The sequence below is a fragment of the Homo sapiens genome, chromosome 4 (genome assembly GCF_000001405.40).
Source record: "Homo sapiens chromosome 4, GRCh38.p14 Primary Assembly".
Taxonomy (NCBI): domain Eukaryota; kingdom Metazoa; phylum Chordata; class Mammalia; order Primates; family Hominidae; genus Homo; species Homo sapiens.
This window is the reverse complement of record NC_000004.12, coordinates 112,606,301-112,620,529: the sequence shown is the minus strand read 5'-3', so window position 1 is coordinate 112,620,529 and position 14,229 is coordinate 112,606,301. Positions and strand designations below refer to the sequence as shown.

At 38.3% G+C, this 14,229-nt stretch overlaps 1 protein-coding gene across 27 annotated transcripts in view; it reads left to right on the top strand.

Moving 5' to 3' along the window:
- The window catches only part of ZGRF1 (zinc finger GRF-type containing 1), a 97,571-nt gene that overhangs the window by 16,380 nt on the left and 66,962 nt on the right, over positions 1–14,229 (top strand). For 18 of the 27 annotated variants that reach the window (XR_938764.2, XM_047415917.1, XM_047415914.1 and 15 more), the window contains 4 exons: positions 340–528; positions 840–3,090; positions 7,942–8,006; positions 11,101–11,151. Coding sequence is in view for 24 of the 27 variants with exons in the window: in XM_047415917.1 (XP_047271873.1) it covers positions 340–528; positions 840–3,090; positions 7,942–8,006; positions 11,101–11,151 (2,556 nt within the window). In the remaining 3 variants the exon portion in view is untranslated. Of the gene's footprint in view, positions 1–339; positions 529–839; positions 3,091–7,941; positions 8,007–11,100; positions 11,152–12,680; positions 12,715–14,229 lie in introns of those variants that run through there. The other 9 variants (XM_017008370.2, XM_011532091.3, XM_047415916.1 and 6 more) reach the window with 3 other exon arrangements.

The window sequence follows — 14,229 nt, the reverse complement described above, 5'->3', positions numbered from 1 at the left end:
TTTGCCCAGGCTGGTCTCATAATCTTGGCCTCAAGCAATCCTCTTGCCTTGGTCTCCCAAAGTCTTGCGATTACGGGTGTGAGCTACCACGCCTAGCTCTAATATGTGTTGTTGAATAAACAAATCAGAGAAATTTTAAAATTATATTATTGTCCTTTTTTGTGCTTATTGATAGTTAATGAGTACATAATAATAAATAATTGAAGACTTTAGTTACTGATTTATTCGTTCAACACCTATTTATTGAACACCCATTGTGTCTTAGTGCTAGTGAGCATCCTGGAATACATAGATAATCAAATAATTAGATGTATGTGATTTTGACATTTATTCTTTCAGGTGAAACCTGGAGATGACTTAGAAAGTGATCGATACTTAATCACAGTTGAAGAGGTTAAAGTTGCTGGAGCCATAGGTATTGTTAAGCAGAATGTCAATAAAGAAGCACCAGAGTTAAATTCAAGGACATTTATATCCTCTGGCCGATCTCTTGGATGTCAGCCCTCTGGCTTAAAAAGGAAGTTTACTGTAAGTTTTGCTATGGAAAATAATATATCAAAATATATTTATAAAATTGTCTCGAAAAGTAGTGAATTTTGAAGTTATTGTACTCTGTCATTCAAAGGGCACTTCATAGTATACTTAGGTAGAAAGGAAGTAAACCCTACTTTGAAAAATCTTATTACAAATGAATGTACTTTGACAAACTTTAAATCTGAATTATTACTTTACCTTAGGCAAACCAGAAACAATCCTTCTCCTTTTTTTTTCTTAGCCAGTTCATTTCACATTTTCTTAATGGGTAATGGTACACCTAACAGTTATTTTAATATTTTCAGGGTTTTCAAGGACCACGTCAGGTTCCAAAGAAAATGGTTATTATGGAAAGTGGTGAATCAGCTGCATCACATGAGGCTAAGAAAACTGGCCCTACTATTTTTTCTCCATTCTGCAGCATGCCTCCTTTGTTTCCTACTGTTGGCAAGAAAGATGTAAATAATATACTGGCAGACCCTGAGAACATTGTGACTTACAAGAACAGGGAGAGAAATGCCATGGATTTTTCTTCGGTTTTTTCTCCATCCTTCCAGATTAACCCAGAAGTGCTGTGTGAAGAAAATTATTTTTGCTCACCTGTCAATTCTGGAAATAAGCTTTCAGACTCTTTACTGACCAATGAGCCTGTGAAAAGAGATAGTTTGGCATCTCACTATTCAGGAGTTTCACAAAACATCAGAAGCAAAGCACAGATATTAGCTCTTCTGAAGTCCGAATCATCTAGTTCATGTGAGGAACTAAATTCTGAGATGACAGAGCATTTTCCTCAAAAACAACCACAAGGAAGTTTAAAAATTGCTACTAAACCAAAGTACCTAATTCAACAGGAAGAGTGTGCTGAGATGAAGAGCACAGAAAATTTATACTACCAGCATCAATCAGAAAATACCATGAGAAATAAAAGCCGGTGGGCCATGTATTTATCCTCACAGAGTTCACCTATACATTCTTCTACTGTAGATGGGAATGATACAGAAAGGAAACCCAAGGCCCAGGAAGATGATGTAAATTCTAATTTGAAAGACCTTTCATTACAAAAAATTATACAGTTCGTTGAAACGTATGCTGAAGAGAGGAAAAAGTATAATGTAGACCAGTCAGTCGGTAATAATGATCCATCCTGGAATCAGGAAGTAAAATTAGAAATTCCTTCATTCAATGAAAGCAGTAGCTTACAGGTTACTTGTAGCAGTGCAGAAAATGATGGTATATTATCAGAATCTGACATTCAAGAAGATAATAAAATACCTTTTAATCAAAATGACAAGGGGTGCATTAAAGGATCAGTTCTCATTAAAGAAAATGCTCAGGAGGTAAATACATGTGGAACACTGGAAAAGGAGTATGAACAATCAGAGTCATCTCTGCCAGAACTGAAACATCTCCAAATTGAATCTAGTAATAATTCTAGGATCTCTGATGACATTACAGACATGATTTCTGAAAGTAAAATGGATAATGAAAGTCTTAATAGTATTCATGAATCTCTGAGTAATGTAACACAACCATTTTTGGAGGTAACTTTTAATCTGAACAATTTTGAGACCAGTGACACTGAGGAGGAATCACAGGAAAGCAACAAAATTTCCCAGGATTCAGAGAGTTGGGTAAAGGACATTTTGGTTAATGATGGCAATTCATGTTTTCAAAAGAGGTCTGAGAATACAAACTGTGAAGAGATTGAGGGTGAACATTTGCCATTCTTAACATCTGTTAGTGACAAACCTACAGTGACATTTCCTGTTAAAGAGACTCTGCCATCACAGTTTTGTGATAAAACTTATGTGGGTTTTGACATGGGAATATGTAAAACTGAAAACACAGGAAAAGAAATAGAGGAGTATAGTGACACATTAAGCAATTTTGAATCTTTCAAGTGGACTGATGCTGTATACGGAGATAATAAAGAAGATGCTAATAAACCTATTCAAGAAGTCAGAATTAACTATGATTTTGCTTTACCCCCGAATAAATCTAAAGGTATAAACATGAATTTACATATTCCTCATATTCAAAACCAGATTGCTGAAAACAGTAATCTATTTTCAGAAGATGCTCAACCTCAGCCTTTTATTTTGGGAAGTGACTTAGACAAAAATGATGAACATGTTTTACCCTCAACTTCTAGTAGTGACAACAGTGTCCAACTATTAAATACCAATCAGAATCACTATGAATGTATTGCACTTGATAAATCAAATACCCACATTTCCAATTCTTTGTTTTACCCACTGGGAAAAAAGCATCTTATTTCCAAAGACACAGAAGCACATATATCTGAACCTGAAGATTTGGGAAAGATTAGAAGTCCACCCCCTGACCATGTTGAGGTTGAAACTGCCAGAGAAGGCAAACAATACTGGAATCCTAGAAATTCTTCAGAACTTTCTGGATTAGTAAATACCATTTCTATTTTAAAGTCGCTATGTGAACACAGTACTGCTTTAGACAGCTTGGAAATATTGAAAAAGAAAAATACTGTCTTTCAGCAAGGAACTCAACAGACGTATGAGCCAGATAGCCCTCCTGAAGGTTAGAATTGCATGTCTATTTTGGAATGTTTTCTTTATAGGTCTTTGAGCTATAAAGAAAGAAGATATTAGCTCTGGGTGATACATTAAAGAATTACATAGTGTTTAAATAGGTAATACATGTACTTGGTAAAACCAATATTAATAGAGAATAGTAGCAATGAAAAGTCCCCATCCAACCACATCCCTTATTCTACCCTTCAGAATTAGCTACAGTTTTCTTCTAGAATATCCTTCCATAAATATTCTATGCGTATATAAGCATATATTGGCACATTTATGTGAATATATGTCAAAAAACGTACATATATATGTATGTATGTGTGTGTATATGTCAATCTTTTTTTTATTTTGGAGACAGTCTCACTCTGTCACCCAGGCTGGAGTGACACACTGCAACCTCTGCCTCCCAAGTAGTTGGGATTACAGGCATGCACCACCATGCTTAGCTAATTAAATCTATTCTTATTCATTTTTGGACAGGTACTAGGGAATACATTTTTTTAAAAAAGTGAGTTCATATTGATACCTCTAATTCCAATCCTATACCACAGAGTTCTTTTCCTCTTTCCTCCGTTCCACAGTTATGTCTTTTTTTTTTTTTTAAGACAGTTTCACTCTTGTCGTCCAGGCTGCAGTGCAGTGGCGCGATCTCGGCTCACTGCAACCTCCACCTCCTGGGTTCAAGTGATTCTCCTGCCTCAGTCTCCTGAGTAGCTGGAATTACAGGCACCCACGACCACGCCCAGCTAATTGTTTTGTATTTTTAGTAGAGACAGGGTTTCACTATGTTGGCCAGGCTGGTCTTGAACTCCTGACTTCGTGATCTGCCCACCTCGGCCTCCCAAAGTGTTGGGATTACAGGCGTGAGCCACCACTCCTGGCCCATAATTGTGTTTCTTTTTTTTTTTTTTTTGAGACACAGTCTTGCTCTGTCACCCAGGCTGGAGTGCAGTGGTGCGATCTCGGCTCACTGCAAGCTCCGCCTCATGGGTTCAAGTGATTCTCCTGCCTCAGCCTCCCCAGTAGCTGGAATTACAGGCACCCGCCACCATGCCCAGCTAATTTTTTTTTTGTATTTTTAGTAGAGATGGGGTTTCACCATGTTGGCCACGTTGGTCTTGAACTCTTGACCTCAGGAGATCCACCTGCCTCGGCCTCCCAAAGTGCTAGGATTACAGGCATGAGCCACTGCACCCAGCCCCATAATTGTGTTTCTGTACTCTCACAATATGAAAGGATCCTGGCTCCCAGTATCAGTATACCTTCTCAAATCTGCAATACAAGATAGCTTCCAAATTGTTATATCAATATTACTGCTAGTAAGAAACCTTTACAAATTTATAAAGTTCACAAATCAAAAGGTAAAATTGAACTTTTGAGTATCTCATGTGATTCCTGAGAAAAATATAAATTAACTTATTGTACCTACTAAAATGATTCTTTGAAATGTAGTTAAGTTTGAAGATAATTGTTAGTTTATTTTCTAAAATATTAAAAGTAAGTAGCCAGGCACAGTGGCTCATGCCTGTAATCCCAGCACTTTGGGAGGCAGAGGCGGGTGGATCACCTGAGGTCGGGAGTTCGAGACCAGTCTGGCCAACATGATGAAACCCTGTCTCTACTAAAAATATAAAAAATTAGATGAGCATTGTGGCAGGCACCTGTAATCCCAGCTACTCGGGAGGCTGAGGCAGGAGAATCATTTGAACCTGGTAGGTGGAGGTTGCAGTGAGCCGAGATCATGCCATTGTGCTCCTGGGCAACAAGAGTGAATGAAACTCCCATCTTAAAAAAAAAAAAAAAAGTAAAAAGCTTTAATGAAAAATAAATATGAGTAGATAAAGTTATGTGATACCATATAAGAATACAAAGTTCTAGCATGGAGATTTAGGGATTATAGAATTTAGTTTTGAAGGCCAGGTGTGGTGGCTCATGCCTGTAATCCCAGCACTTTGGGAGGCCGATGTGGGCGGATCACCAGAGGTCAGGAGTTCAAGATTAGCCTGGCCAACATGGTGAAACCCCATCTCTAATATATAAAAATTAGTCGGGTGTGGTGGTGGGGACCTGTAATCTAAGCTACTGGGGAGGCTGAGGCAGGAAAATAGCTTGAACCCGTGAGGCAGAAGTTGCAGTGAGTAGAGATTGTGTCACTGCACTTTAGCCTGGGTGACAGAGCAAGACTCCATCTTAAAAAAAAAAATTAGTTTTGGGAAACCAGCTGGTTTCTGTCATCAAGTTGGAAAGAAAATTAAAGTTGATTCTGATTATTTGCAGTAGTTCTGTGAAGTCACTGCAAACACATAACTAGTAATAGTAAACCTTGCTCCTATGGGAAATACAGGGTTAGGTTCCTGCAAGCCTGTGGTCAGAACATTTTCATTAATTTATGAATACGTAACCTTGTTTTATGTATGTTTCTGCTTAAAGAACCTTATTTAATATATATTGTTAATTCATTAACATTAAACTCACTCATAGCCAACAGCAATATAACTCTTACCTATAAAAAATGTACCTAACATATGCACTTTCCTCATAAGGAATATCACAGTCTTCTTGCCCTTGGGAACACTAGATAGCACTATTCTTAGGGGACTTTTTTTTTTTTGACACAGAGTCTCGCTCTGTTGCCCAGGCTGGAGTGCAGTGGCGCGATCTTGGCTCACTGCAACCTCCGCCTCCTGGGTTTAAGCAATTCTCCTACTTCAGCCTCCCAAATAGCTGGGACTACAGGCGTGTGCCACCACACCCAACTAATTTTTGTTTTTTTTTATTAGAGACGGGGTTTCGCTATGTTGGTCAGGCTGGTTTGAACTGACCTCAGGTGATCTGCCCACCTCGGCCTCCCGAAGTGCTGGGATTATAGGCGTGAGCCACTGTACCTGGCCCCTTTGGGGACATTTTAAGTAGTGAAATTACCAATAAATAGCACAAAAATGAAAAATGTGGCACTAAGCAACCATGAAAAAGATAATTGTTTACAACATAAGCTAAAACAAGAAGCCAGAGTGTTACCTTGAGAACATGCGCTTCAGGCAATTCGTTTTTTGCTGTTCTATGTATGTCTGCAAATGACCATGAAAGTATAGCAAATACTGATTTGGGGTTACAAATAAACTTTAGGGAGTAGGCAGAATCCATGAGTAATGATCGACTAAATTTGCTTTTTTGATACAAATATATTTCTCTAAAAAGGATTAAGTTGGTTGCTTGAGACAGTTTGAGAAGATTGAATCACTAGGGTATAACATACTTTTATGAAGTTTAAAGCAAAATTAGAGAAGAAGAAATTTTGCCACCAATTTAGAATGTGCGAAAGTGTTAAAACTCTAAATTTTTTGTGAGATAATTGTATATAGCTTAGAAATGTTAATTTAGAATGTTTTTCTGGAGCAAAGGCAGTAAAGGAAAACAATATCAATTTTCATCTGGTGTTTTAAAAAAACTTGTTAGAAATGTCAAGTTCCAAAATTATTTTTTATTTTATTCTGAATTTTAGCAGGAAAACAATGAAATCATAAATAGCAATTGCCTAAAAATGAAGTTTACACTAGTTATAGCTATGATTTTTTACCGTAATTATCACTTTAAAATTAGTCTTTTTGTGATTTTAGAAGAGGAGATTATTGAATATGTACTTTTTTTTAAGAAAAAAAATTTCTATTTTTAAATGGATACCTGATAAGGTGGCAAAACTAGCCACCCTGCACTCCTTTGCATTCTGCAGGCTTGCCAACTTTTCTGCTGTTTTGTATTCAGCCTTTTACCCGAACACTTTTACCCTTGTCATAGCTGAGTTTTTTCTTCATCTCAACTTAAATGTTACTTCCCATGAGAAACTTTTCCTAATTCCTGTATCAAAAATCGTTCTGTATCATATCACTGTTCAATGAGATACCCTTTTGTATCATAATCTGAATTTATCTGGTTTAGTTATTTGTTTGTCTTTTGTGTCTCTCTTTTTTCAAGGAATTTTTTTTTGTCTTGTTCACTGCTATTTCCCTAGTGCCTGGCACACTGCACTTGGAAAATAATTGTTGAGTGAATTTTTTAGAATATAGAATTTTTTTCTTAAGCCATAGTAAAAATGGATTTAAGATAGACTAGAAATAGCATGAAGTGCTGTTTTTTTTTCTTTTGTTTGAGACATGGTCTCACTCTCACCCAGGCTGGAGTGCAGTGGTGCGATCTTAGCTCACTGCAACCTCCACCTCCCGAGTTCAAGTGATTCTCCTGCCTCAGCTTCCTGAGTAGCTGGGATTATAGTTGTGCACCACCATGTCTGGTTAATTTTTGTATTTTTAGTAGAGACAAGGTCTCAGCATGTTGGCCAGGCTGGTCTTGAAATCCTGGCCTCAAGTGATCTGCCTGCCTTGGCCTCCTAAAGTGCTGGGATTACAGGCATGAGCCACCATGCCCGACTCTGTTTTTCTTTTCTGTTTGTACATAGCAACAGTATACTGGGAGTCTTGACTTTCTTTCCTAACAGTTGTCCGGTACTTCATTTTTAGCATTTTTAGTATAGGTTATTAACTATTGGGTTAGTATTTATTTTTTAATTAGTGTAAAAAAGGAGTACAAGGAAACATTCCTACTATTGACTTAGAAAGTAAACAAAAAGGCTTTCATTCTAAATATTTTAAAATTTTTATCATAAAAATGTTTTAATCTAAACAGAGAACAGTACAGTGAATCCTCAAGTGCTACATTCCAGATTGAACAATTACCAAGATTGTCTGATCTTAAAATTTAAGTTATATTCCTTGTTTTGGTTTTAGGAATAAGTTAAATTTTAGAGTACTGCTATATATAACAATGATATGATTATTTCTTTTCTCCATTACAGTGAGGAAACCATTTATTACAGTAGTTTCACCAAAGTCTCCTCATCTGCACAAGGATTCTCAACAGGTACAGGTTTTTTTTCTAAGAGTATGTTTTTTTTATTTTGATAAGAATGTTCTATAATTTGTAATAGAATTATAGTAATACAGTCCCAAGCTATCTTGGTTCATGACTCCTGCTGTATCTCAGTAATTTTTCATTGCCTTCCTCAGCCAAAAGAAATGCCTAACAGTTTCATTTATTATGTAGTTAATAGTATTAAGCAACTCAAGTATTTCCTAGTAACTTTGTAAGCATTTTGTTTGTTAAAAAACACAGTTACATGGCTGGACGTGGAGGCTCACGCCTGTAATCCCAGCACTTTGGGAGGCTGAGGCAGGCAGATCACTTGAGGTCAGGAATTCGAGACCAGCCTGGCTGATGTGGTGAAACCCCATCTCTACTAAAAACACAAAAATTAGCCAGGCATGGTGGCATGCACCTGTAATCTCAGCTACTTGGGAGGCTGAGGCAGGAGAATCACTTGAACCCAGGAGGCGGAGGTTGCAGTGAGCCGAGATCATGCCATTGCACTCCAGCCTGGGCAACAAGAGTGAGACTCCATCTCAAAAAAAAAAAACAAAACCCCACAGTTACTAATGGAATGTGTACCTCTGTTGGGCACTATACAACTTCTCAAACCTTGGAATAGATTAGGTAACACCACCTTATTTCTTGTTACACGTTGATTTTCTCATGATAATTGCTTTTTATCACAGCAGTTTCTCAGAACCCAGCTTCACAAAGGTGCAATGTCATTGAAAGAAATGTAGCAAGATCTGATGTAGAAACAGACCTGGAGTTAGTAGTTCATTAGGTGTCAGACAGATGTCAGGTGACACTGTTACCCTACATATAAAACACCTTATGGAGCTCCTGTGAGTTCATTGTGCCACCTCAGGGTACCTTGTTGCACAGTTTGGGAACCATGGTAGTTATATAAAAAATAATAGTTCTAATTAGGATGAATTGAAATTCTAGGATAAATCATCTAGATGAGTGTTTCTCACTCAATGGGGATGCTGTTAGCACTTTTGGAGGGTCAGTTCTTTCATTATATGGCACTGGTCTTTCTACAGACATGTTTGGAACAAAAGAAAGTAGAATGTTTCACTTGCCTCCATTTTATTTTTGTTTTTATTTATTTTGAGATGGAGTCTCTCTCTTTCGCCCAGGCTGGAGTGCAGTGGCACGATCTTGGCTCACTGCAGCCTCCATCTCCCAGGTTCAAGTGATTCTCCTGCCCCAGCCTCCCAAGTAGCTGGGATTACAGGTGCGTGCCACCACACCCAGCTAATTTTTGTATTTTTAGTAGAGATGGAGTTTCACCATGTTGGCCAGGCTGGTCTCCAACTCCTGACCTCAAGTGATCCACCCGCCTCAGGCTCCCAAAGTGCTGGGATTACAGGCATGAGCCACCAGGCCCGGCCTCACTTGCCTCCATTTTATATCTTACTTTATTCTTTATGTTACTGGTCCTTTTTTTCCCCTTTTAATAATGTTGATTTTTTTTTCTTTTTTCTAAATACAGAAAACAGTGAAGAAAAAAATAAAACCTACCCTGCCTCTCAGAATATTTATTAATGTTTCCAGATTTTTTTGTGTCCAGTTAAAAAAAATGGTTAGATTGATGTATATAAATAGTTTTATATCCTTTCCCCTTAATATCGTTGTATTATCTTACATTATTAATAATTCTTCTTAAACATACTTTTTAAAAGTTATTTACCATCCATCCTATGGCTATCTTGTGCTTTGGACAAATAGTTCTCTGTTTTGGTCATTTAAATAATTTCCAGCATTTTGCTATTATAAGTAACACTTTAATAAATGTTTTTACACATAAATCATTGTTTGCATTTTAAGTTTTTTCCTTAGATTTGATTCCAGAAGTAGAAGTAATTATTTGGAAGGCTAGGAACAACTTTCTTTCTTGGGTTCTTGATATTTTCTTTTTTTTTTCTTTTCTTTCTTTTTTTTGAGACGGAGTCTTGCTCTATTGCCCAGGCTGGAGAGCAGTGGCATGATCTCGGCTTACTGCAGCCTCTGCCTCCTGGGTTCAAGCAATTCTCCTGCCTTAGCCTCCTGGGTAGCTGGGACCACAGGCTCACGCCACCATGTGTGGATAATTTTTGTATTTTTAGTAGAGATGGGGTTTCGCCATGTTTGCCAGGCTGGTCTCGAACTCCTGTCCTCAGGTAATCTGCCCACCTCGGCCTCCCAAAGTGCTGCGATTATAGGCATGAGCCTCCGTGCTTGGCCATGATATTTTCAAATATAAAAATTTTAATGTTTTACAATTAGAATATTTATTTTACTTCATTTTTACTAGTACCGTTGTAAGCTTTTTAAATTCTTGCTAAATGACAATACTGTTTTATCAGGATTTTACTTTTTATGTATGTATTTTTTTCTGAGACAGGTTATTGCTCTGTTGCCCAGGCTGGACTGCAGTAGCGTGATTGGCTCCTGCAGCCTTGACCTCCTGGGCTCAAGTGATTCTCCTGCCTCAGCCTCCTGAGTAGCTGGGACTACAGGTGCATGCCACCATACCTAACTAACTGTTACATTTTTTGTAGAGATGGGGTTTCACTATGTTCCCCAGCTGGTCTCAAACTCATGGGCTCAAGCAGTCTTCCAGCCCCAGCCTCTAAAGTGTTGGAATTACAGGTGTGAGCCACAATGCCTGGCCAGTTTTTATTTCATATTAGTGATGGTGTTCTAGTATTTCTTTTTTTTTTTTCTTCGTTTTGAGATGGAGTCTTGCTCTTGTCGCCCAGACTGGAGTGCAGTGGCGCAATCTTGGCCCACTGCAACCTCCTCCTCCCGGGTTCAAGTGATTCTCCTGCCTAAGCCTCCTGAGTAGCTGGGGTGTGCCACCACACCCGGCTAGTTTTTGTATTTTTTAGTAGAGACAGGGTTTCACCATGTTGGCCAGGGTGGTCTCGAACTCCTTACCTCAGGTGATCCGCCCACCTTGGCCTCCCAGAGTGCTGGGATTACAGGTGTGAGCCACCATGCCCAGCCCTAGTATTTCTTAAGTCTAATAGAAATTTATATTTTTGTTTTCTAAATTATTATTGCCTATTAGTTTATCTAAAATTAATATTCTATTCCTAAGATACTAAAAGAAGATGAAGTTGAACTAAGTGAACCACTTCAGTCTGTGCAGGTAAGTTATTTAAAATATAAATTAGCCCCTGGGCATGGTGGCTCATGCCTGTAATCCCAGCACTTTGGGAGGCTGAGGCGGGTGGATCACAAGGTCAGGAGATAGAGACCATCCTGGCTAACATGGTAAAACCCCGTCTCTACCAAAACTACAAAAAATTAGCTGGGCGTGGTGGCAGGTACCTGTAGTCCCGGCTACTCGGGAGGCTGAGGCAGGAGAATGGCATGAACCCGGGAGGCGGAGCTTGCAGTGAGCCGAGATAACGCCACTGCACTCCAGCCTGGGTGACAGAGTGAGACTCTGTCTCAAAAAAAAAAAAAATTAGCCAATTATATTTGTATATAGAGGTATGGCATGTAATTTTAAGTTAATAAATACATCTAAGTTTGTATTATATATTGTCAGTTTTTGAAATCATTTGTAGTGATTTTCATTTAGTATAAATGTACTATATGATCAATATAATTTGGTTAAATAACAAATTCTTTACCATGAAGTTAGTTTTGCAAACTTGCAAACATTACCAAACCCATGGGTCATTGACAATTATCCCTATAGCTCTGTTGCCTAAAACAGAACAAAATAAAAAGAAAACACCTGTATTATGGCTACTTGCCATTTTTCATTCTTATGTAACAAGATTACACATATAAAATTATAAACAATTGGCAACTACAAAATTTAGCTTACAAATGATCACGTTTTTGTCTTTTTTTCACTTGAAAAAATAAGGTTTAAATTTTTTCTTTTTGTTTTTTAAGGTGGAGTTTCACTCTTGTCGCCCAGGCTGGAGTGCAATGGTGTGATCTCGGCTCACCGCAACCTCCGCCTCCTGGGTTCAAGCAATTCTCTTCCCTCAGCCTCCTGAGTAGCTGGGGTGACAGGCATGCACTACCACGCCTGGCTAATTTTGTATTTTTTTAGTAGAGATGGGGTTTCTCCATGTTGGTCAGGCTGATCTCGAACTCCTGACCTCAGGCTATCCGCCTGCCTCGGCCTCCCAAAGTGCTGGGATTACAGGCATGAGCCACCACCTCCAGCCTAGGTTTAAAATTTTTTAAGGACAGGTATCACAGAGTATAAACTACAGATAAACACTATCATTATTTTTTCGCTTAGAATGAGTTGCCACTTAGATATCATATATTTTTTAAAAGTCTGTTGAAGCCGGGAGCAGTGGCCCGTGCCTATAATCTCAGTTACTCAGGAGGCTGAGGCAGGAGGATCGTTTGAGTTGAGATAGAGTCCAGCCTGGACCACATAATATGACATAGTATGATCCCCCTCTTATTAACAAGACAATAAAAATATGCTGTCATCTCACAGTAATGAAAAGGTCTTAATAATCTATTGCAATAAAAATTATTTAAATCTGTTTTTAGCTTTAAGATAGGAGTACATTTGTATTTTTGTAATGGCTCTTTTTTTTTTCTTTTTTCAGACGGGTTCTTACTCTGTCACCCAGACTAGAGTGCAGTGGCACAGTCACAGCTCACTGCAGCCTTGACCTCCAGTGCTCAAGCCATCCTCCTGCTTCAGCCTCCAAAGTAGCTGGGACCACAGGTGCACAGTACGATGGCTGGATAATTATTTTTTATTTTTTTATTTTGTAGAGATGGAGTCTGACTACATTGTTCAGGCTGGTCTTGAACTCCTGGCCTCAAGCAATCCTCCCACCTCCACCTCCCAAAGTGCTGGGATTATAGATAGGCATGTGCCTGGCCTATAATGGCTCTTCTTACTACAACTCTCTGAAACAACCTCTTTATGTATGTTGGTGGTAGAAGGAACTTTCAAAACAGTGTGTTCTTTGAAGATACCCTTAATGCCACTTCTGCCTCATTTTTAAAAGTATAATTAACTACATATTGCAAAAGAGCTATTCTTGCGAGAAGGTAGTATGCGAATTAATTTTGAAAACTGTATATTAGAAAATTGTAATTCTGGCTTGGCACAGTGGCTCACACGGGTAATCCCAACACTTTGGGAAGCCAAGACAGGGGTATCATTTGAGGCCAGGAGTTTGAGATCAGTGTGGGCAATACAGTGAGACTCCAACTCTAAAAAAAATTTTTTTAAATAAAAATAATTAGGTGGCATGGTGGCACATGCTTGTAGTCCCAGTTACTCAAGAGGTTGAAGCAGGAGGATTACTTGATCCCAGAGGTCAAGGCTTCAGTGAACAACGATTGCGCCACTGCACTCCAGCCTGGGTGACAGAGCAAGACCCTGTCTCTTAAAAAAAAAAGAAAAAATTCTAATTCTAAAATATAGGTTGAATATTTTTAAGAGCTACTTGGTTGGCAGTTGTGCTTATATATAAGTGTTATTAAAGGAAAGTGACCATTATTTGAAGAAATATACTACTTTATCTCTGGTCTGTTGGGGAAGTGTTTTTTCTTCATATTTGTTAAACATTTAAACAATTACTTTTGTAGTTGAATTCATTTTCTGTGTCTATCCAAGTCATATGAAAAATTATGGTTATTTTGTATATTACTTGATGAACTAAAAATGACTTGTTGCTGTTGTCAGTATCGTGTTTTGTGATTGCTAGGAGATGATTCATTCTTCAAATAGTCAATTACACTTTTTCAATTTTTCTTCCTTTCATTTCTTACTAATTTTAAAATAGATGATCTGCATTAACATAGTATTAGGTTTGACAGGTGATTTATTATGTACCTGGCATTTTTTTCTTTTTCTATTTTTTTTTTTTTTGAGACGGAGTTTTGCTTTGTTGGCCAGGCTGGAGTGCAATGGCGTGATCTCAGCTCACCACAATCTCTGCCTCCAGGGTTCAAGCAATTCTGCCTCAGCCTCCTGAGTAGCTGGGATTACAGGCATGTGCCACCACGCCAGGCTAATTTTGTATTTTTAGTAGAGATGGGGTTCCTCCATGGTGGTCAGGCTGGTCTCGAACTCCTGACCTGAGGTGATCTGCCTGCCTCGTCCTCCCAAAGTGCTGGGATTACAGGCGTAAGCCACTGCACCCAGTTATACCTGGCATTTTTTTCTAGTGTTCAAAGATTTAATTAAAAATTTAGAATCAGAATTTTCTAATGTGCTAAGTTTTCA